At 37.6% G+C, this 22,214-nt stretch overlaps 1 protein-coding gene across 1 annotated transcript, besides 1 other annotated feature; it reads right to left on the reverse strand.

The window, feature by feature from the left end:
- On the reverse strand, positions 700-10,864 carry FGF20 (fibroblast growth factor 20). Its single transcript, NM_019851.3, has 3 exons — positions 10,266-10,864; positions 4,174-4,277; positions 700-1,836 (listed from the first exon to the last, which is right to left on the reverse strand). Exons 1-3 carry the CDS (start codon positions 10,549-10,551, stop codon positions 1,591-1,593), a joined length of 636 nt encoding a protein of 211 aa, NP_062825.1. The 5' UTR covers positions 10,552-10,864; the 3' UTR covers positions 700-1,590.
- Positions 10,381-10,450: a silencer, noted in NCBI's record as "silent region_18958". NCBI's record gives its function as "represses an Ori minimal core promoter by ATAC-STARR-seq in GM12878 lymphoblastoid cells {active_cell/tissue: GM12878}" and the evidence as "EXISTENCE:reporter gene assay evidence [ECO:0000049][PMID:35858748]".

Here is a 22,214-nt window from a genome sequence, read left to right on the forward strand (position 1 = left end):
TTTATTCTTTCTTTTTTTTTCTGTCTGAACCTTGTTTTCCTCATAGAATAACTCACCACTCATAATTATGGTATTTGTTAATTTACTTGTTTACTATCTGTCTTTCCCACCAGCCATTAAGCTCCATGATGTAGGGCCCACCTCTATCTGGACCACCCCATTTTCCCCTAGTGCCTGACACTATACTATACTACTGTATAGTAGCCTTTAATGAACCTGTGCTGTGCCAGGCATGGTGGCTTATGCCTGTAATCCCAATACTTTGGGAGGCTGAGGTGGGAACATCATTTGAGGCCAGGAGTTTGAGACAAGCCTGGGCAACATAGCAAGACTCCATCTCCACAATAAAAATTTAATTAAAAAAGAAAATTAAAAAAAAATGTTTGCTGAATAAATGGCTAAATAAGAGATATAATGAAAAGAATACCCGACTCAGGTAGATGGGGACTTACCATTGTTAATGGAGGTGGTACAAAGACTTATTCTTCCTACAATCATATTGGGTGAAAGAAATGGTCTTTGCCACACTGAATTAAGAAAATAAGTAAACATAAGTTGGCTGTAATGTTCAATACTTTTCAACATTAGAAGTTCTTTAAATACTAAAGTCTTTCTCTAGGGCATTTAGAATTTTGTCATTTTTAAATGTTATATAAATAAAAGAACTGTCACCCGAAAAGCAATGAAGCCAAAACACTGCATGAAAATGTTTAATTCCCTTTTGAATGTGTGTTGAATTTAATACAAATCAATGAGGCATTTTTCTAGGCCAAAAGAAACCAACGTTACATTTAGAAGGCAATTGACTGCATAAAAAATATAATCTATACTATATTTTAAAAAGAAATTCAAAATCTGATTCTATGGTTAAGGTGGTATAATAATGTCCTCTTTACAGAGCAAGACACCACAATAAAGTAATGGCACAATAACGGAAGTTTTGTTGTTTTTTACTCTTTGTATTATCTTCATATCCCAGTAAAAAATAAACTCTTTAATAAATAAATATATATAATAAATATTTTCAAATTGAAAGTGTATAAATAGGTCCATTCTTTTAAAAAGTGTTCTGTCTTGGTGTGGCATGTTTCATAGTTCATGTTTCACCCAGGTGTTGTTTAGTTTTTTTTTTTCTTAAAACATATAATGCCATAACCTGTGAATTCTACAAGGTCCTCAGAATTTATGTAGCAATGCTCTTGGCTAAGTCAATCCATTTCTTCAACATGAAGTCTCTATTTTTAACATAAATTTTAAAGTAAACATAATCCAGAGAGGTGAGGCACCAGCAGCAACCATGTGAGGGTTCCCATTATCCACAGTTTAACAGATTTTTGGCTTCAGTCTACTGGTAAGGACTAATCCAATGTATCTAAGGGAACTTAATCCACATATAAAGAGTGATCATGATCTATTTCTAGTCAAAATTTTTTTTGGTTTTTTTTCTCAATATTCTTTCCAAATCCAGTCTCTCAGTAGAAAATAGACTTTAATATTTTGAACGTCTCCTTGGGTCATTATTTTATGATGGGAACTATGACAAGAAAGAATGGTTGTGGTTTGACTCTTCCATAATGTCACTATCGCACTTCAAGTGTACATCAGTAGGTCCTTGTACAATTCTGGAACTCTTTCTGGATCCACTGGTCTAGGTAAGAAATGTGTAAATTTCTGATGCCTCTTGGACCTGGCGCCATCTCTTGGAGTTCCGTCTTTGTTAAGTGCCACAAAATACCTGCGGCCAGTGTCTCCATGTTTATATATGTTAGATGAATAGGTGTTATACCAGTTCTCTTCAAACTGCTCCCTAAAGATGCATTCGGAAGTAAGTTTCTCCTGAAAGAGAGAAGATAACTATTATTTTTTAAAAAAATACCTTTGAGATAATTTCCTTACAAGTTTCAACTCTATATTTTCATTTCTTTGCCTTGTCAAAGAAAGAAAAAGGTTAAATTGGTTTTGCTTTATTTTGTTTTAGTTCATATGTCATCTCTGATTCTTAGTGCAGGTGACTTCATCTGGCAGTGTACTTTAAAGTTGCAGTCCCCACCTCTTTGGCACCACTGACCAGTTTCATGGAAGACAATTTTTCCACGGACCAGGATGGGGACACGGGATGGTTTCAGGGTGATCCAAGTGCATTACATTTATTGTGTACTTCATTCCCATTATTATTACATTGTAATATATAATGAAATAATTACACAACTCATCATAATATAGAATCAGTGGGAGCCCTGAGCTTGTTTTCTTGCAACTAGACTGTCCCATCTGGGGGTGAACGGATGCAGTGACACATCATCAGGCATTAGATTCTCATAAGAAGCATGCAACCCAGATCCCTCGCATGCACAGTTCACAATAGGGTTCATGCTCCTATGAGAATTTAATGCTGCCGCTGATCTCACAGGAGGCGGAGCTTAGGTGGGAATGTGAGCAATGGAGAGCAGCATGTAAATTCAGATGAAGTTTCGCTCACTTGCCTGCTGCTCACCTCCTGCTGTGCAGCCCAGTTTTTAACAGGCCACAGACCAATACCAGTCTATGGCCCAGGGGTTGGGGACCCCTGCTTTAAAGAACTTTCAGTCAAATGTCAGTTCCCAATTTTATTTTCAAATACCTAAAAAATATCCTGAATTTTCTCATGTCCCATATCATCACCCTACTCCCGCCATCACTACCAAGCAGACCTGTAGTTTATCTTTTTCCATCGTTAGAGGCCAGAGTTCTACCTATCAAGTCTCTACTCTCACCTTGGAGCATTTCAAGATCTTGCTAAGAACCAAATTCCAAATTCATGATCATCACTCCAAATCATATATCTTCTCTTTATGAATTTACTAACTGTTTGATGATACATTCTCCACGATTTTTTATCTGGATCTTTTACGATTAAGATTTATTGTCTTTTCAAAATGGACTGTATATTGTCCTAAGTGATAAACCACAGTTGCTTTTTTTAAATCCAAAATACACATGAAGATTGTGTGCATGTTTTTTCTATTGTAATTCTATTAATCTTATTGTAATTCCATACTTATGATTATTATACATTGCATTGTCTTTCTTTGTTCTGAGCTGACACGAAGCCTAGAAATAACAAGTTTTACCCTTACAAAGGACAAATATTCATCTACTTCAATATCATCACCAATTCTTCTCAGTGTATATTAAGACTCTAGCTGAATATTGTGGTTCCAGTTGAGAGTTTAAGAAAAAAAAGTTACCAGAGAGTGCCATCTGCTTAATCATACAAAGTCAATTCTTGATGGAAATAATTACAGAGACTTCAACCTCAAGAAAAGAGTTCACATAAGAAGAGGAGTGGGATACTGGCATACATTTTTATCTTACCAATTCTTATAAAAGCATTTAGGCAACTGTGAACAAATGAAAAAATGTTAACAATGAAAGAGAAAAATCCATGTTGTGCTGTAAGGTAGAGTGTGATATTGTCCTGCTATTCTAATTCTTGTGTTGCTATTGCAGATTTGTTCTAAAAACAAAAAAAAACTTAAACTGATGAAATATTGACCTGAAAAGTATAACTTAAGTGGCATATTTAAACATTTATAGTAGACCCACAGACGTGCACTTATCCCCAGGAGCAACTTAAAAATTGCCCGATACAACTTTGAATGAGCCCATGGCTACTGAAATTTTCAAGACTACAGGCATAGAAGAACAGTGTGTTTGCCATCTTCTCCTGTTACTTGCAGTATCCCACAACTTTACTCACTTATTTCTTAAATACAAAGGTCAGCAAGTAAGTGACGTATATTTAGCTGTGGAAGATGATAACAGGTAGAGAAAGTTTACCTTAAATAAACATAAAGGTGAGAGAGTCTAACATGGCAAGAAAAAAATATTCTCCCTTTTATCTCTGTCTCTGGATGGAATGATTAAAATACAGAGAAAACTAGAAAGACTCAAGGTAATGTATAGGAAGAACTAATGAGCTGAAGGTAATAATGGTTGGGGGTTTTAAAAATATAATTGAGTTACTATACTATTGCCCAGACACATGGAAATTTAGCAGGATAGATTTCAATTTCTACGTAAGTATGTTTTATATACTTCTACCAGACATTCTTGGTAGACATTTTAATTACATAATAGATAGTCAATATTTTAAGAATTACAATAATAATAAAAAATAAAAATAATACGTACTGATCCATAGAGTTCTCCTTTGTCATTCATTCCAAGATAGAGACCACTGTCCACACCTCTAATACTGACCAGTCCCACTGCCACACTGATGAATTCCAAGATACCTGCATATGTAAACAATTCATAAAAACACCATGTTTTGTATTTATGCATGAGCATATGACTAACAAAAATCTTCCAAATAGTAGCGGTAGTCGGCCATTATTGCCAAATATAATGATGTACGTGTAAAAGTCCTTTGTACACTGGAAACAGCTATGCAATTGTTTTATGACAGATGAAAAAAGGACAAAAAAGGAAAAAATTGTTCACCATGGTGAGACAATCAAGTATAAAGGGGTTCCCAGAGAACCTCTGACCGGCCTGCGTGCTGGGACAACAGGATGGAGCCTTGGGAAGTTGACACCCTTTGCAGCGGGGAGGAGCCTGGCCTCTCCTGTAATGGGGTGGTAGCCTGGGATTCAATCTGTGAGATGGGGGCCTGTTAACAGGAACCTCGAACCTCTCTTGCTTTGCTTAGTTGTTTTTTTTTCCTTTTTGGCCAATAAATTCCATTTTTCTCACCCTTCTATGTGTCCATGAGCCTAGTCTTTCCTGGTCATGTGACAAGGACCTCTGCTTTTAACTGAACTAAGGAGAAAGTACTACGACAATGGTATAATGTGAAAGGTGTGAAACCTTACACCAGACTGAGCTGGGTCTGAATTCCAGTTCAGGAACTTACTAACCAGGTTGAGCAGGCAAGTCATTTGTCTTCTTTGAACTTTAACCTCCTCATATGCAAAATGGATGAAATGCCTCCCTAAAGGAGATGGGTGAGGACTAACACATTTAGGCATTCAACAAACGGAAGCTATTATTATCATAAATTAGTATATAACAGAGGTATTCTCAGTTTTCCATGATCTCATCAGTTAATTATAACCATTTTCTATTCATTGTTTTGTTTTTATCTACGATAAATCAAGTCAATCTGTTTCTAGGAGCAGCAGCATCCCTTATTGGGTATAACAGTGTTTTATAGTCAATAAAGGGCATTTGTTTGTATTTTCTTATCTGGCCCTAAAAAACAAGCCCTTAAAATAAATAGGGAAGATATTATTATCCCCATTTTACATATAAAGAAATGGAGGCTCAGAAAGGCTTATTGACTTGCCTAAGGGACATGATATTTATAAATGGTAGAACTGACATTTAAACTTACATTCTTAGCCCTAATCCACTGTTTCTACTTCAGGACACTGTTTCTTGAGGACAATACAGTAGTTTCAAGACTTTTTGGATTATATAACATGCTATGTTTCCTGCTGTGTAATTTTTAAAATTAAATTGTATAGTTCAGAGAAGAAAAAGGACTTTATAATTCATTAAATATGATAGCCAAATATAATGAATTAGCATGCAAGTAGATTTACTATCAATAACTTTCTAGAATTATTTCCATTTATCAGTAAACTGGGATCAAAAACTCTTCCCTAAATACACTGATAAACCACAGTTTAAAAAAGAAAAACTTAACACCTCCCTCTGGATCACCCTTTTTTTTCTGCACACACTAAACTTTGGACTAATGCCTTTGTCTCATTCTTCCCTCTTCAACTCTGCTGAAAAAGCATAGCTGTATTTTCTATGCTTGGCACTGCCTTCCTCAATAGCATTCTACCTTCACCCCTTCACCCCATCCTGAGCTCTACAAACAGTATAAATGTGTACCCTTTAGCCTGACTCTTGCTCTTAAGTCATTTCTTGATTTATTGTACAAGTTCCTGTTTGGACACGTGATACTCCCAAGGCCAAGGGAAAGTACAGAATCTGACTATTTGCTGATATGCTGGGCTCTATTCTATCCAAAGCCTAATTCACTCTTTGTCAGAAACAGAGATTCTTAGCAAGACAAATGAGCTCTTTCAAACTATTAGGAGATCATGTAGAACACTAGAGCTATCAAGGATCTTACAGCAACAATACACTGCTAAATAGTCTATAAGTGGCTTGAAAGAGCCAGGATCCCTCATTGAAAGCCTAAGGCAGAGAGAAGATAAGATACAGCAAGAAGGCTTAGGACAGCCATCATAATGACAAATACAGAGGTGGGGAGTGAAGGAAAATCAAACTCACTGCCAAGTTCATTAGCAAAAGAGTCCTGCCGGAAACAAAAACATAGGCCCAAAACATAATTGGTAGAAAATATATATATTAATGTAACTTCATTCAGGCTATAATTACAAATGTATAATTACTTTGTATTGAATGTTACATTCAAATTAAAAAGTGTTCTGTGGTTGAAATGCAACTTAATTCCCTTTAAGTATCTGATTTACATTAAGATTCTCTTGTCTTTCAAAGAACAGGAACTGATTAAGTGATTAGAATGTAGAATAGAGCAAGTTTTCAATTACAATAAAATATGGCTTTAATGTCCATATAAGCTAATTATATAACAAATCTCATAAAGTGTTTATTTTTCTTGGAAAACTCAGAGGTAAACCACCTACACTTTAATTCTTATCTTAATGCTGTCAGCTTGCCGAAAAAATATGTAGCTGTAGAAAGACAAAAGGTTATTTATGTTCTTAGAATAATTATATGCAATAGTTTTAACTTTAGTAAACAACACCCAAAACCTTATACATAACCAGGTATAAATAATTTTGCAATGGCTCATGGGACTGATATGTGTTTTGTGTGTGTGTTCCTCTTAAAGATTTTAGTCACACTTTTAAATTCTGATCCTTTTTCTCCTTGAGGAAATAGTATACCACGTAGTAATTTGTAATCATTTGATTCTTAAATGAGATTTGACAAGTCTTTCTTATTTATAATATGAGGTAGCAACTAAGCTAATTCCTTTACAAAGAGTAGACATGAAAAACTTTCCTTAAGAGGTAATCACAGATTTTAGATAGATTTTCTAATGCCCAGTGTCCCATAAAAAGACTTGGAGGTACTTTGCCTTTCTGGTATCACCTTCAAAGCCAGTCTTTTTAATAATCATAATAAACAGGTGAGTCAACCCACAATGCAACCACATCAGACAAATCTATGGAGAATAGGGGAGAATAAAGGAAAAGCCTTTAAAGAAATATGTTTGATCTCAGGCTAAACTTTTTTTTTTTCAGAAATGATTCCATGTTTACATATTAGGTAAGCTGTTCCTGCTGTGTACTACTGTGTAGGAAAACTCCATCATAAATACAGAGATAACTCATGGCCAAATTAGTATAAAACTGGCAAAAAAAAAAAAGTTATTTCCTTTAACATCTCAAATAGCCATCCTTAAGTTTTCAAAACTGTCACTCTGATAGCAAAGATAGGAGTTTAAAAAACATAATAATTTAATAATTAGTAACTGAAGTACTAGCAAAAGAAGCCAAACATACAGAAGCACATAATGTTATATAGCTTGAACATAAACTTTCTTCTTACCCGCACTCTCTTAAAGTAAGTTATGATGTCTATGATATTGAAGGCCGCTAGGATGTACTACAATACATCACAAGGCGGCCATTCACTCCCAGACTAATCTGGGTTATCTTCCTTTTGTTTAACAGTATTTTGTTCCTATACATAGTCTCCCACCATAGAGTGACTTACATTGGCACAAATTCAATCTGTCAATTTTTTTGCAGCTACTAAATAATTAACACAAATTTCGCAAAAACAAAATGTGCGAGCAAGATGATAATTCTGATATTCAACTTCCATTCCTAAAGAAATGCCGTTAAATGCCATTAATGAATGTTATCAAGTCTACAAATATTTACTAATCTCTCCCCATAGGGTCAGTCTTATAAACATACACAAAGTAAAAGAGGCCTTTTTTTTTCTGTCACTGGAGAGATTACAGTTTAATTACAAGTTTCCTTTTTTTTTTTTTTTTTTTTTTGAGACAGAGTCTTGGTCTGTCGCCAAGGCTGGAGTGCAGTGGTGTGATCTTGGCTCACTGCAACCTGCGCCTCCCGGGTTCAAGCAATTCTCTGCCTCAGCCTCCCAAATAGCTGGGATTACAGGTGCCCACCAACACGCCCAGCTAATTTTTTTTTTTTTTTTGTATTTTTTGTATTTTTAGTAGAGAGGGGTTTCACTATCTTGGCCAGGCTGGTCTTGAACTCCTGACCTCATGATCCACCCGCCTCGGCCTCCCAAAGCGCTGGGATTACAGGCGTGAGCCACTGCGCCCAGCCCCAAGTTTCTTAAAAGTAGAATTTCCAAGGCTACACTGTGTATGGCAGGGTGAAATTCTGACTATTACCTAAGCTTAACTTCTGCCTGCTCTCCCTATAAGTATTATCACATTTGTGTTTATTTCTAAATCTTTCTGGTAGTTGGAATATTTTTCTGTAATGAGCGCAGTGAAGTCATCCTTAAAGGCAAGAGAACTGAGCCACCTGGTGTCAGCAAAGTTCTTCAGAATCGAAGTCTCAGGGCCATGCACAGTGGCTCATGCCTGTAATCCCAGTACTTTGGGAGGCCAAGGCGGAAAGATTGCCGGAGGCCAGAAGTTAGAAAATCTCAAGCCTCCTCAATTTAAAAACCACTTTCTAAAAGTGACCCCAGGTTGGCCACTAGGTCATGACAGTCTTGACTGATAGTCAATGGGAATTTGGAAGAGATCAGTGGAAGCTGCAAACATGTGGGTTTTAAAAAGTTAATTTTCTAAGCCTTTAAGTGCTACCAAATGACCACCACATGCTTATTTCTACATCTAGAGTTACAAATGCCCCCTTAAACTGAGATTTACACTTCTCCAAAGTTTTAATGAGTCCTACAAGTCAAAAAGGGAATAATTATAAGAACAAGGGGGTAAGGACACGATAAGAGAGGGCCATTCAGAGATGGGGTGCATTCTCAAAGAACTCCGTAGCGCTACGGATTGTGGGTGACAAATTAATGGTATCTTTTTTAAAAATAAAATGAATTTTTCCAATGATGTCAAAAGTTTGATAATCAAAATCCTTTGACATTGCTAGCAGGTTAACTAATAGAATGGAAACTTCAGCTATGGGGAAAGATCCTGGGATATTAGAACCGGAGAGCACCCCATCTTTGTACAGAAAACTAAGCCTCAGACTGATGAAGGCACTTTCTAGTTACACAGCTAGTGAGGAAGTCATTAACAGGAGAGACCCTCCCGATCTAGTATCTTAACAGACACTGCCTTAACAATCATTCTCTTGTTTCTTTTAACCCCTTCTCTTCCCAGGCACTGCCGGAGGTATTCTGAAACACGTCCGTCTGTGTTCCCACCCATATCTTCTTTCGCTTTCCCATTTCCTCTTTCCTAAAGTCGATACCAAGATACTTGCTTTCAGGTTGCACAATTTCCAAAGAGGAGCTTGGCTGAAGAACTAGGCATGCTCAGTAGCCGGGTGGTCTTCCTCCTCCCCCACCCCTCCCCCCCTTTCCTTTTCTTTTCTCACCCACATAGAACTTAGGAGCTGAGGGAACCTCAGACAGGTGAGCCCTACAGGTAGCGAATGTGCCCACGGAAAGTTAATCTGCTACCTCTTCAGGTGAACATTTGCAAGTCTCTAGGTAGACACGTAAATGCTCGCAATCCATGCCCAGAGCAGCCCCGGGTGCATAATCAGCTGCATAACTGTGGGGCATGTTTAAAGAAGCCCGGCGCTTCCTGTTATTAATTTTTGTAAAGTGGACGGCATGGGGGAAAATGAGAAAGGAAATCGGAGAGAAACATACAGGGATTTTTTTTAAAACTGACTGCGAGGTAAGCAGTGCGAGAACCGTGATGCCGAGTGCACCAGGTCTTGGTGTCCCCGGCAGTGGGAAGGGCAAGGGGAAGGCAGGAAGGAGCTTGCGAAGCGCCCACCCTTTCTCCTCCCGCCCCCAGCATCTGGAGCTGCTGCCCTGCTAGAGGCTGCGGCGACAAACCAGCAGGAAAATTTCTCCCCGCGGCTGCTCTGGCCAGCCCTTCAGCCCCAGCCTGCGTCTTGCACCGGATGGGTCCAGGGGAGCTCCGGGCTCCGCGCGGCGATGACGCCCTTGGCAGGCAAAGAGGGAGGTGCAAGGGGAGGGAACGAGGAGCCGAGCTGGGGCGCAGATGGGGGTGGGGTCGGGATGCTAGTACGTACCGAAGAGGCTGTGGTCCTGCCGGGTGCCCTGCACGCTGCCGTCGGGCAGGATCTGCAGGTGGAAGCCGGTGCGGCAATAGAGCTGCCGGCGGCGCAGGATGCCGTGCAGGTGCGCCAGCTGCGCAGCCCCCGGCCCGCCGCGCGCGCTCCGCTCCGCCGCGCTCCTGCGCTCGCCCAGCAGCGGCGGCCGCTCCCCGGCAGGAGGCAACAGGAAATGCGAACCCACCTGCTGGCCCAAGCCCTCCAGGCCGCCCAGAAAGCCCCCGACTTCGGCTAAGGGAGCCATGGAGGGGGAGATCCGGAACACAAAAGACCCCCCCAGTAAAGAGTGTTGTGGGGGTGGGATGGAGGTGGATAGAGAAAAATTATAGCAAAACGAGCGCAAAAAGTTAAGGCCCGGTTACTCCTCTGAGGTCGCTCCGGAGGGACTTTGCACTGAAATGGCAGGGAAGCTCTCACTGTCTTGGAGCGATCTTCTCTCCTTGGGTAGGTGGGAGCCGGCTGCTGGCTCTGCAGAAATATCTATAGCTGCCGCTGCCAATACTAGGACTAGGGCTGTTGGCTGGGGCTCCAATTCCGCAAACTGATCAGATCAGAGTCCTGTGTACATACACACCGAGTATATAAGCGGGTCCTCTTGACATATGCTAATCAAGTCCTTTCATGCGCGCTGGGGAGGTTCTGTTTGAAATCTTAAACCGGTCTCCTCTCAACACGTTTTTGCTCTTCGGAAGTGACCAAAAGGGGCCCTTGGCACTTCTCCATCCATGCCCTCACAAAAACCATTCCTGCACTTGGCCAAAGCCAGCCAGCAACTTCGAGGAGGTGCAGTCGAGGCCCCTCTTTGGGGTTGTCCTTGGGACAGCGGTGATGCTGTTCAGCTGCGGCCGTGCAACCGTCTTTGATGTGAGCTTTGCAGTGATAAATCGCCTCTAAAAGGAGCCCAACTTGGCAGGGATATAGAAGAAGAGGAAGGGAGGAGGGAGGGAAGGCGGGGAGGGAGAGAAAGAGAAGGAGGGCATTGGTAGGAGGAGGAAAGAGAAAAGGAGAATTGGACTCCTTGGGAGCCTGCAGTGGACAGGTGCAAAGAAAGGTAAGCAAGGGAGAAGGAAAAAGGGCGTTACCTGGGGCTTACAGACCTGCCCAGACACACATGAAAGAAAAATCAAAGCTTTGACAGTTTAACTCACTAATTTTAAAACACTAATAAAATGTACAAGCATTGCTCCTTTCTTTTATCATTTAGATGGGGGATTTTCTTTACATAATCAAGGTTAGGTAAGGAACACCCTCCCTCCCCCTCTTTACAATTTCTCTTTAATGTTTACCTTTACTCAGCACATAATATAACCAAAATTGCCATATATATATATACATAATACACATATGTATTTTTAATTGTGTGCTAAGGTCATGAACTTCTAATTAGTGTAAAATAAAGCAAAATATAATCACGAATCAAAGGATTTACAGTAAATCCAAATAGGCTGGAAAGAAATGATTTGCATCTCTATATTTTGCCGTGAATAGAAAATGAATATCTGGAATATTGTCATAAATGATGAGTGGCTTCTTGGGCCCTTATACAATCTAAGAGCACTTTCCTGTTTTTCTTAGTTGCGTTTTTCTAAAAGCTAGATGTTTTTGTTTACATTTTAATTATAAAATCTAAAAATAACTAAATGGAAATAGTCTTGAGGCTTGATGTGTTTTGAGACTTCAAAAGTTACTGGTAAAATTGAAGAGTGCTTGAGCATATTTGTAAAATCAAAAACCATGGAAGCCAAGGAATTAGATACATGTTCATTTAAACGTTGAAACTGGTTTTGCACCACTAGTTAAATTCAAGATCTTTCTGTTAAAATTTTTCAGTGGTAGAAGAATTGAGAATCATTGGGCAGATTTATGCTTCCTCTGAGCAAAAAGTTTTAGGGAACTGATGAAGATTACTTTCTCAGTCTTGTTTCATGATCTGTTTAAAAAAAGCATAAGCCTGGCAGCTCAGTTGGATTTGACTGGTTTATTTTATTTGCTCTGAAGGATTTTTTCTAATTAATTGGCAGGTGCTCTAAAGTGGGTATAGTTACACATTTTCATCACTACAGGCCTAACTACTGACCCTTGTGTAACCAAGTTATAAAAGAGTTCTTAAAGCAAGTGATTTACTGTTGATAGATATGAAATAAAACAAAAACGCTGGCTAAAAACAATAAACAGATAAATCACTTTAGAAACGTATATTGCTAAGTCTGTTTTAAAGGTTGCACCAGGTAAATGTTGTATTATTTCACCTTTCAAATAACAGCAGTCTGTCTTGTGGTAGGACCCCAAATCCACCATAATCAAGGTTTCAAACACATCTGTGTAAACATTATCACATCAGTGTAAAACATCAACCAATGAGCTTTTACTTTGAACCAAATCTTCTTAATTGCAGTGTTAAATCAAAGAAACTTAGATCAAAGTTGTGTGAATCTCGTAGCAGGATAACTGAAGTAGCCAGTACATCCACTGATCACTTTTAAAGAGGAGATACTTAAGGGTTTTAAACTTAGATCAAGTGCCTTTTAATGAGGTTTGTTTCAAGGTCCAAGTTCTGTGCAACATATAATGCTGTTAATTATTCCACAATGGAAATATATTATCATCACCTGCTTCTAAAAGTACTAGTTCAGTCTACAAACTATTTTCCCACATGAACACTTTAGTCCTGCTGTATGAGCTATAGCTGTTAGACTGTTCAAATCTGTTGTATTGCTTATATATATACAAAAAATGGGGAATTTCTTATTCATAGTCATGAAAGTTTAAATACTTTCATAATAGAATCGCCTTCTCTTTGTACACCTTGGTATTTACATGTGTATTACCTTATTTGATCACCACAATGACCATAAGACATAGGCACATCCTGCTTTATAGCGAAAAAATATGGTCCTAAATCCCCGTTTTGCCCAGAGTCCAACATCCCAGGCCAATTTCCTTAAATTCTCTAAATGCTTTTATTTTCTCTTTTGTAAAATAAGGATAATATAACTCCAGCCTAACTACTATGCCTAGAGTTGCCATGAGACTTAAATGTAAAAATATATTGGAAAATGGTTTTAAAACTATAGTTTTCTATGCATAGAATATGCTAGAAAACTCTAGTTGTTGTGAAAATTTTTGCTTTCTAACTTAACAAATATAATTGGTCTGAAATACAAAATAAATCTTTTTTTCCCAAACCAAACCTTTAATGTGTAAGTTTGAATGGTGCTTAATGCTGTTTTATAAAGGACCAGACTAGAAACAAAAAGATAAGAATTTCTTTTGTTTGCACTAGTCATGTGACAGGAAAAGATAACACTAAAGATTTTTTTTTTTTGCACATGCTGTGATGATATCATGGGAAGTTAAATAATTTTGAAGAGTGTTTTACAAGAGTGCATTATTCAACTTTTAAGTATACATTGCAATCTAATCAACTTTACCTATGCTTCCTAGAGACCACACTTGCCTTGCTGTTATACAAATACGTGGTACAACTTCTACTTCCACAAAATGTAGTTTGAGTTTTCCAGACTATATAATCCCTATATAGGTTTTCAGATGATATATTGTCAGGAACCTTTGTTTTTACACATGAGGAGTTCATACCTTTTGAGGCTGCTACATGTGTTCAATATGAGAAAAAGAAATAGAGCTGATTTAATGGTCATGATATACATCTCCAATAAAGTAAGAGTATATTTGCACATTATTCATTATTTATAATTACAAAATATTAGCAACAACATAAATTTCTATACACAGGAAACTGAATAAATTATGGTACATTCACACAATGGAGCATTATACAGCTGACAAAGATGTCTGTGAACGAACATGGAATATTTGCAGGATACACCGTTAAGTGAAAACAGCAAAGAATATATATAGTGTCTGCCTTTTCTGTAAGAAAGAAAAAAATGAGAAACGTCTACATGTATATGCTTATTTATTCTAAAAATAAACACAGAATGGATAAACCAAAAATTAATGAACTTGGTTACCTGGTTAGTTGGTTAGCAGGGGATGGATATGAATGGAGTGGAAGGGTTGGAGGAGTGACATTCATCTGAGAACTTTTTATAGAGTTTTGACTTTTGGAGAAATGTTAATGTTTTACATTTTTTTAAAGTAAAATAAAATAAAATAAATGAGAGAGAAGTGGGGATGGAATAAAAGCAGGAACAAATGAACCTAACTGTATTAAAGTGAGTAATATAACCACACATGAGGGATGAATAACATATTAAAAAAAAGAAAGAAAGAAACTCAAATAACTATCAAATTCTGTCTTTTGATGATATAACCAAGATCTAAAGAAAAACCACATAAACAAATCTTGAACTTCAATGAGAAAGATTGTTTTCCTCAGTAGCAGGGGTTAGAGTAGTGTATTGTAGAATTGAACAAATGAATAAATATATTGAAGCTAATGAGAGCTAGGGGTTTCATTATTAAAGAATAGAGTTCTAATATGAAAAGAAGGAAGACTGGAATGAACCTTGTAGTGTGAAATTGGAATTGCCGCTATCAGTATTAACACTTGGTGCCTGTGTGTGTGTGTATGTTCATGTGTATGTGCATATCTTAGCCCTGTGCACTAAAAGGGCCTAGAAGCAAACATATCCCAAGTCAATGAGCATATCTAGCATCTAAGCCTTGGTTTCTCAATTCAAACTCCTACTAAAATGATCAATGGAACCTTGGAGAAATGTCTGGTTCCAGGACTGGGGCATTATTTTGTGTGCCAGAAGGCAAGGAAGTACTAAAAAAAAAAAAAAAAAAAAAAAGAATAAGGACATGTCCAGGGGACATAAGCCAAATCTGGGACAATTTGAGCATCAAAATAAATAATGATAGGAACAAGTTATTTATGAAATAAATAAGAACATGTGAGTGCAACTGTTGAAGTACACAAACTACCAATCAAACAAGTTAATAAGGGAGAAGGGAAAACTTTTTCTCATGGCAGAATACCAACTAATAAATATTGAAAGAATGATGGAATTAGAAAAATGACCACTTTACATCCATCCTAGGGTCATTGCTGGTCCAGACAAAAACATAAATGCATCCTAAAACTTGTGGATAAAAGTTTGATGAAGAAGAATCTTTATTACAAAGGGAAAAGAGTAACTTAATAGTGAATTAATCTAGTGAGTACAGTACTATCTTAACCACATAATAAAAGTGAATAACAGTAATGGGACAAGCCAACCCCATATGCCTCTTCGTACTCTACAAAGAATACAATGTCACTTACGTGTTGTTCCTACCAAAAATGCATAATCTGAATCTAATCATGAAGAAACATCAGATAAACCCCAATTGAGGGACATTCTACAACTGGCTGTGCTCTTCCAAAATGTCAAAATCAAAAAAGACGAAGGTTGAAGAACTGTTCCAGTTTAAAAATGACTAAAGGCCAGGGACGGTGGCTCATGGCTGTAATCCCAACACTTTCGGAGACTGAGGCGGGCAGATCACTTGAGCCCAGGAGTTCGAGACCAGCCTGGCCAACATGGTGAAACCCTGTCTCTACTAAAAATACAAAAATTAGGCAGACATGATGGTGCATGCCTGTAATCTTAGCTACTCAGGAGGCTGAGGCAGGAGAATCGCTTGAATCTGGGAAGCCAAGGTTTCAGTGAGCCAAGATCCAGCTGCTGTTCTCCAGCCTGGGTGACAGAGCGAGACTCTGTTTCAAATAATAGAAAATAAAAAAGCAAGTAAAGTGACATGAAAACTAAATGTGATAGATGATGTTGGTATGGAGCCTGAACCAAAAAATAACAATACTAATGATAGAGAATATTATTGAAACAACTGGCAACATTTGAATATGGAGTGTGAGTTTGAAAATAGTACTAATAAATGGCGCTACAATAATTGGCTAACCATATGCAGAAGGTTAAAGCTGGACTCCTTCCTTACACCGTATACAAAAATCAATTCAAGATGGATCAAAAACTTAAATGTAAAACCTGAAACTATAAAAACCCTGGAGATAACGTAGGAGATACCATTCTAGACATAGGACCTGACAAAGATTCCATGATGAAGATGCCAAAAGCAATTGCAACAGAAACAAAAACTGACAAATGGGACCTAATTAAGGAGCTTCTGCAGAGCAAAAGAAACTAACAACAGAGTGAACAGACAACCTGTAGAACAAGATAAACACTTGCAAACTATCCATCCACAAAGGTCTAATATGCAGACTCTATAAGGAACTTAAATTAACAAGCAAAAAACAAAAACCCCATGAAAAAGTGAGAAAAATGATGGGCACGGTGGCTTATGCCTGTAATGCCAGCACTTTGGGAGGCCGAGGTGGGCAGATCACGAGGTCAAGAGATCGAGACCATCCTGCCCAAGATGGTGAAACCTCGTCTCTACTAAAAATAGAAAAATTAGCTGGGCATGGTGGCGTGCACCTGTAATCCCAGCTACTCAGGAGGCTGAGGCAGGAGAATCACTTGAACCCAGGAGGTGGAAGTTACAGTGAGTCAAGATCGCACTACCGCACTCCAGCCTGGGTGAGAGAGAGAGGCTCCATCTCAAAAAAAAAAAAAATTGAGCAAAAGATATGAACACTTTTCAAAAGAAGACATTCATGTGGTCAATAAACATATGAAAAAATATGCAGCATCAGTAATCATTAGAGAAATGCAAATCAAAACCACAATGAGATACCACATCATACCAGTCACAATGGCTGTTATTAAAAGGTAAAAAAATAACAGATGCTGGCAAGGTTGTGGAGGAAAGGGAACACTTATACATTGCTGGTGAGAATGTAAATTAGTTCAGCCATTGTGGAAAGCAGTGTGGCAATTTCTCAAAAACCTTAAAACAGAACTGCCATTAGACCCAGCAATCCCATTATTGGTCATATAGCCAAAGGAATATAAATATTTCTAAAATAAAGACACATTCATATGTATGTTCACTGTAGCACTATTCACAATAGCAAAGTAATGGAATCAACCTAAATGCCCGTCAATGATAGACTGAATAAAGAAAATATGGTATATATACACAATGGAATACTATGCAGCCATAAAACAGAATCAGATCATGTCCTCTGCAGCAACATTGATGGAGCAGAAGGCCATAATCCTAAACTAATGCAGGAACGGTAAACCAAATATTGAATGCAGGAACCAAATACTAATTCAGGAACAGTAAACCAAATACTGAAAGCAAATACTCAGCTTTTTACTGAGTACACACGGACATAAAGAAGGGAAGAGCAGACACAGGCACCTACTTGAGGGTGGAGATGGGGAGGAAGGAGAGGATCAAAAATCTACCTATCACGTACTATGCTTATTACCTGGGTGATGAAATAATCTGCACACCAAACCGCCATGACATGCCATTTACCTATATAACAAACTTGCCCTTGTGCCCTTGAACCTAAAATAAAAGTCAAAAAAAAGGTAATAGTATTATATCATTGTTAAAATTCCAAATTTTGATAATTGAACTGTGGTTACGTAAGGGAAAGTCTTAAGAAATACAAAATAAGACTTTATGGATAAAGAGGCATGATGTCTGCAAAATTATTCTTGAATCATTCAGAAACTATATATATATATATATATATATATATATATATATATATATAAACTTACAGAACAAGAGACAGACAGAGAGAGAGAGAGAGAGAGAGAGAGAGCAAATGATCAAGCTGATGGAGTGAAATGTTAACAACTGGCGGGGCACGGTGGCTCACGCCTGTAATTCCAGCAATTTGGGAGGCCAAGGTGTGAGGATCACTTGAGGCCAGGAATTTGAAACCAACCTGAGTGACACAATGAGGCCTTGTCTCTACAAAAACAAATTAAAAAAAAAAATGTTAGCCAGGACTTGGAGGCTGAGGTGGAAGAATCACTTGAGCCCAGGGGTGCAAGCCTGCAGTGACCTATGATTGTGCCACTGCACTCTCACCGGGGTGACATAGCAAGATCCTAACTTTAAAAACGAAAACAAAAGAAAAGAAAAGAAGAAAGAAAAGAAAAGAGAAGAGAAGAGAAGAGAAGAGAAAAGAAAAGAAAATGTTAATAATTGAAGAATTTGAGTATAGGGTATGTGGAGTTCTTTGCACTATACTTGTAACTTTTTTGTAAATATGGAATTATATCAAAAGTTTTATGTCCATTTTTAAGGTCATAACCGATATTAGATGCACTTTAATATAGGAGAGAAAATCTAAATTCAACAGCTATTCTTTAAGATAATTGTGATGTCAGAGTTCCTGAATTTGAACGACTCGCATAGAAGAGTTGCAATCTGCACAAAAGCCCACATCTTAACCAGAACAGGTTGGGTATTTTCCATGGGAAGTATTGAGTACACATGAAAAGAGGAATATTAATTGACCATGAGGTCACACAATTTGGGGGATCACATTCAGGCAGGATGAAAATTTGGCAGAAATTGAACATCTTGGTTATTATTTGCTTATTTCAGGAATGGCAGCGACTCTAATCCAGCCCCACTCTGCATTTTATCCCCCACAAAGAACAAGAAAGACTCATAACACATAATTTGATGTTGTTACCTTGCATTTTTTTCCCTTCTCACCTTGCTAGGTATAAGCAGAATATTGATACTCACTAGTTATGAGACCTTGGGAAAATTGCACCACCTTCTTGGAACTCAGGTTTTTCCTCCAAAATTAGGATAACAACATGTGGTCTATCCAACTTGCAAACGTGATATAGAAATTACACTGATAAATGGGTATGAAAATCCATTGGTGCTACAACATTTAAGTGATGATTTTAATGGTGATAATCATTATCAATTTTCCCTGGGTTTTAGCTCACTTAAAATTTCATTGTTCTGCTCCAGGAAGCAAAAAGGTAAAAATGATTTGAGGAATTATAGCATCATCAAAATTAGCAATGCTCTTTATTTGGAGTACAGAAAAAATAATTTTTATGCTTCCTACAGTGAAACGTTAAACGTTAAAGTAGTATTTTGAGATGGATATGAAGGAAGTAAATATACTTCTAAAATAAACAAGCTATTTTGGAAGTAGCCTATTTTACAGCACCTGGCTAAATATATTCATTAGTGTTACATATTCCTATATATTCATTCATTAGTGTTACATATGATCTTCTGTTATTATCATTTAAATATATCATAAAATTACATGGTGTAAGTATTTTATATTTTTTTCATTGTATAAAAGAAACTTGCCAGATCACCTTAACCAAACACCTTCATTTTACAGATGAGGAAGATGGCTTTTGGATTAATCTCACCTAGTTAATGGGAAAATCATAATTGAAATTAAAATATTTCACATCTAATTCCAATGGTATTCTCACCAAATTATGCTGCAAATATCCAAATAGTAATAAACATTGATTCTCTAGAGCAAATGAAGTATACCTAAAAAAATGTGGTTCAAATTGACATCACTGTTCATATGCATTACTATACTTGGTTGTTCCCAGAATCCCAGAATGTATCCATAATGTTATTAAGCCTCTTTGTTCTTAATTTTTCCATTTTCAAATAAACAGTATTTTAAATTAAATGTGCTGTATTCTTCTAAAAGATAATGGCAGTGTAAACATGAGAGGAGTGTTTTTTTAATAAGAATTTAAAAATTAAATAATCAATATTCAGCTCTGGCAGTGCTGTGGAGGTTAAAATTTTTAAAAAATCAGCTAAAGTGCCCTTTCTAAGGGCATATAATTGCCATCAAAACTCTGATTTTTTAAAATTGTACTCTTATAAAGAATCTATTCATGGTGAGGTATGGTTGCTCACACCTGTAACCCCAACATTTTGGGAGGCCGAGGTGGGAGGATCTCTGTAGCCCAGGAATTCAAGACAAGCCTGAGCAACAAGATGAAACCCCATCTCTACAAAAAATACAAAAATTACCTAGGCATGGTGGCTCACGCTTGTAGTCCCAGCTACATGGTGGTAGAGGTGGGAGGATGGCTTGAGCCTGGAAGGTTGAGCCTGCAGTGAGCCGAGATCGCAGTGCCACTGCACTCCAGCCTGGGCCACAGAGTAAGACCCTGTGTAAAAAAAAAAAAAAAAGAAAAAAAATCTAATATAAAATTTAAGAAGTCAGTAGATTTATGCAATTAATGTATTTGTTCATTGTCTCTCCTTAGAATTCGCTAGAAATAAAAAAATACCATTACAGGAATGGAGATACAAATGTTTAATCTATGGTAAGATAAAAAATATAGACAAATTACATTCTCTTTAAAAGTCAGAAAATGGCATCATGATTTATTAAACTACCTTGAAATTTCATTCTCTCAAGCAAAGTGATGGTGGTAACTAAAGCCTTATTTACCCATTTCTGTGTCCTAACTAGAGGCCTGAGGTAATTAGTCCTGTTTATGTTGAACTGAAATCTAGCCTTAGGCAAGATCTGCCCCTCCAGAGTTTACCCAAATGACAGCTGGAGGAGTAAAAATAAACCTCCATCCCCATAGGGAGGTGAACTGGGAGAAGAGAAATAGAGAAAGGACTAAAAAGGGCATTTCTTAAATTTTGGCACACCATTTTAGAAGACATAAATAGCTTTGTATAATGATCACTCTGCAGTAGGAAACACTAGTGCATGGGAGCTGTATAACACTTCTGAATGACAAGGCATGATTGATATGTGATTCATATGTGATTATTAATACGTGATTAATATGCAATGTGTTGCCACCAGCTTAATATGTGATGTGTTGCCAGTCACCTCCTACTTGCCCTGAAGGGGGTCTGGAGCAGATAAGACAAAAACAATTACATGACTTACTGAATATTCAGAATACAGTTTACAGAACACAGAATATGACTATTGAAATATGTCACATTTACAAGGAGTCTGGTTTGAGGATAGCCTGGGAGAAACACACATTCATTCGTGAAGTCCTCATACTAGAATGAAGCTCCATGCAGGCAGGGATCTTCATCAATTTTGGTTTTTAATGTACATCAAGCACCTACAACAGTGCCTGGCATATTTTACCTACCTGATAAGTATCTGTTGATTGATCGATATGCTCCTTAAGACTGTTTCAGATATCTGAAATATTTGCTTTGATTTCTTGAATTAATGTTTATATTTACTCCAACTAAGGATAGTTCTAAGTCATAGGATGTTTGTTTGAAGACATAAAATGTAACTTGATTGTTAGAAAACAGGCGCTTACTAAGAAAAATATCCTTTACCTTAAAAATAACAACCTCTAGTCATAAAGCCATGCACTGAAAGAACATTCTCTGCCGCAGAGGGGGAGCGGCCACCGGCCTCTTATGGGGTCAGCCACTAGAGGACGATGTGGTCACATACGCTGCCAAACCCTTGATAAGGCCAAGAGGAACCTTGATACGCAGGAATGAATGCTTCTAAGTTTCACTTCTCCAGCTTCTAGTCACACTATTGGTAAATTCCTCATGCAACTATCACTTCCAAAAATGAAAAAAAGAAAGACAGCACAATTATCATGAGCAGGTCGTTAGTGAAGATAAAAATCACAGAAAAATTGTGAAAATGTCAAAGTCTTGAGGAGGAGTAGAGAGCGGCTCAACAGATACTGTGCAGCTGTCAGGATACCGCGGAAGTGTTGACGCTGAAAATATTTGACTCAAGCTCTTCCTGCGAACAAGGCTTATAAGTTTCTAGCTGGCAATGAAATTGTGAAACGAGTTTAAGGACAAGGAGCTGAGTCAAGTAAATGAAATGGCAAGGAACTGGATTTTGAGTAGCTTGCTGTTATACAAAACAAGTAAAAAGAGAAGCTCTTCTATGAGAACTGCGTCACCTATAAAACTGCATTTTATCAGAATCAACAACAAAAACACACAATCACATCAGCAAATAACCTCTGAATTTTTTAAAATAACAGATGAAAGGTTCAGACAGCAGCCTTTTATGAC

The sequence above is a fragment of the Homo sapiens genome, chromosome 8, assembly GCF_000001405.40.
Source record: "Homo sapiens chromosome 8, GRCh38.p14 Primary Assembly".
Classification (NCBI taxonomy): domain Eukaryota; kingdom Metazoa; phylum Chordata; class Mammalia; order Primates; family Hominidae; genus Homo; species Homo sapiens.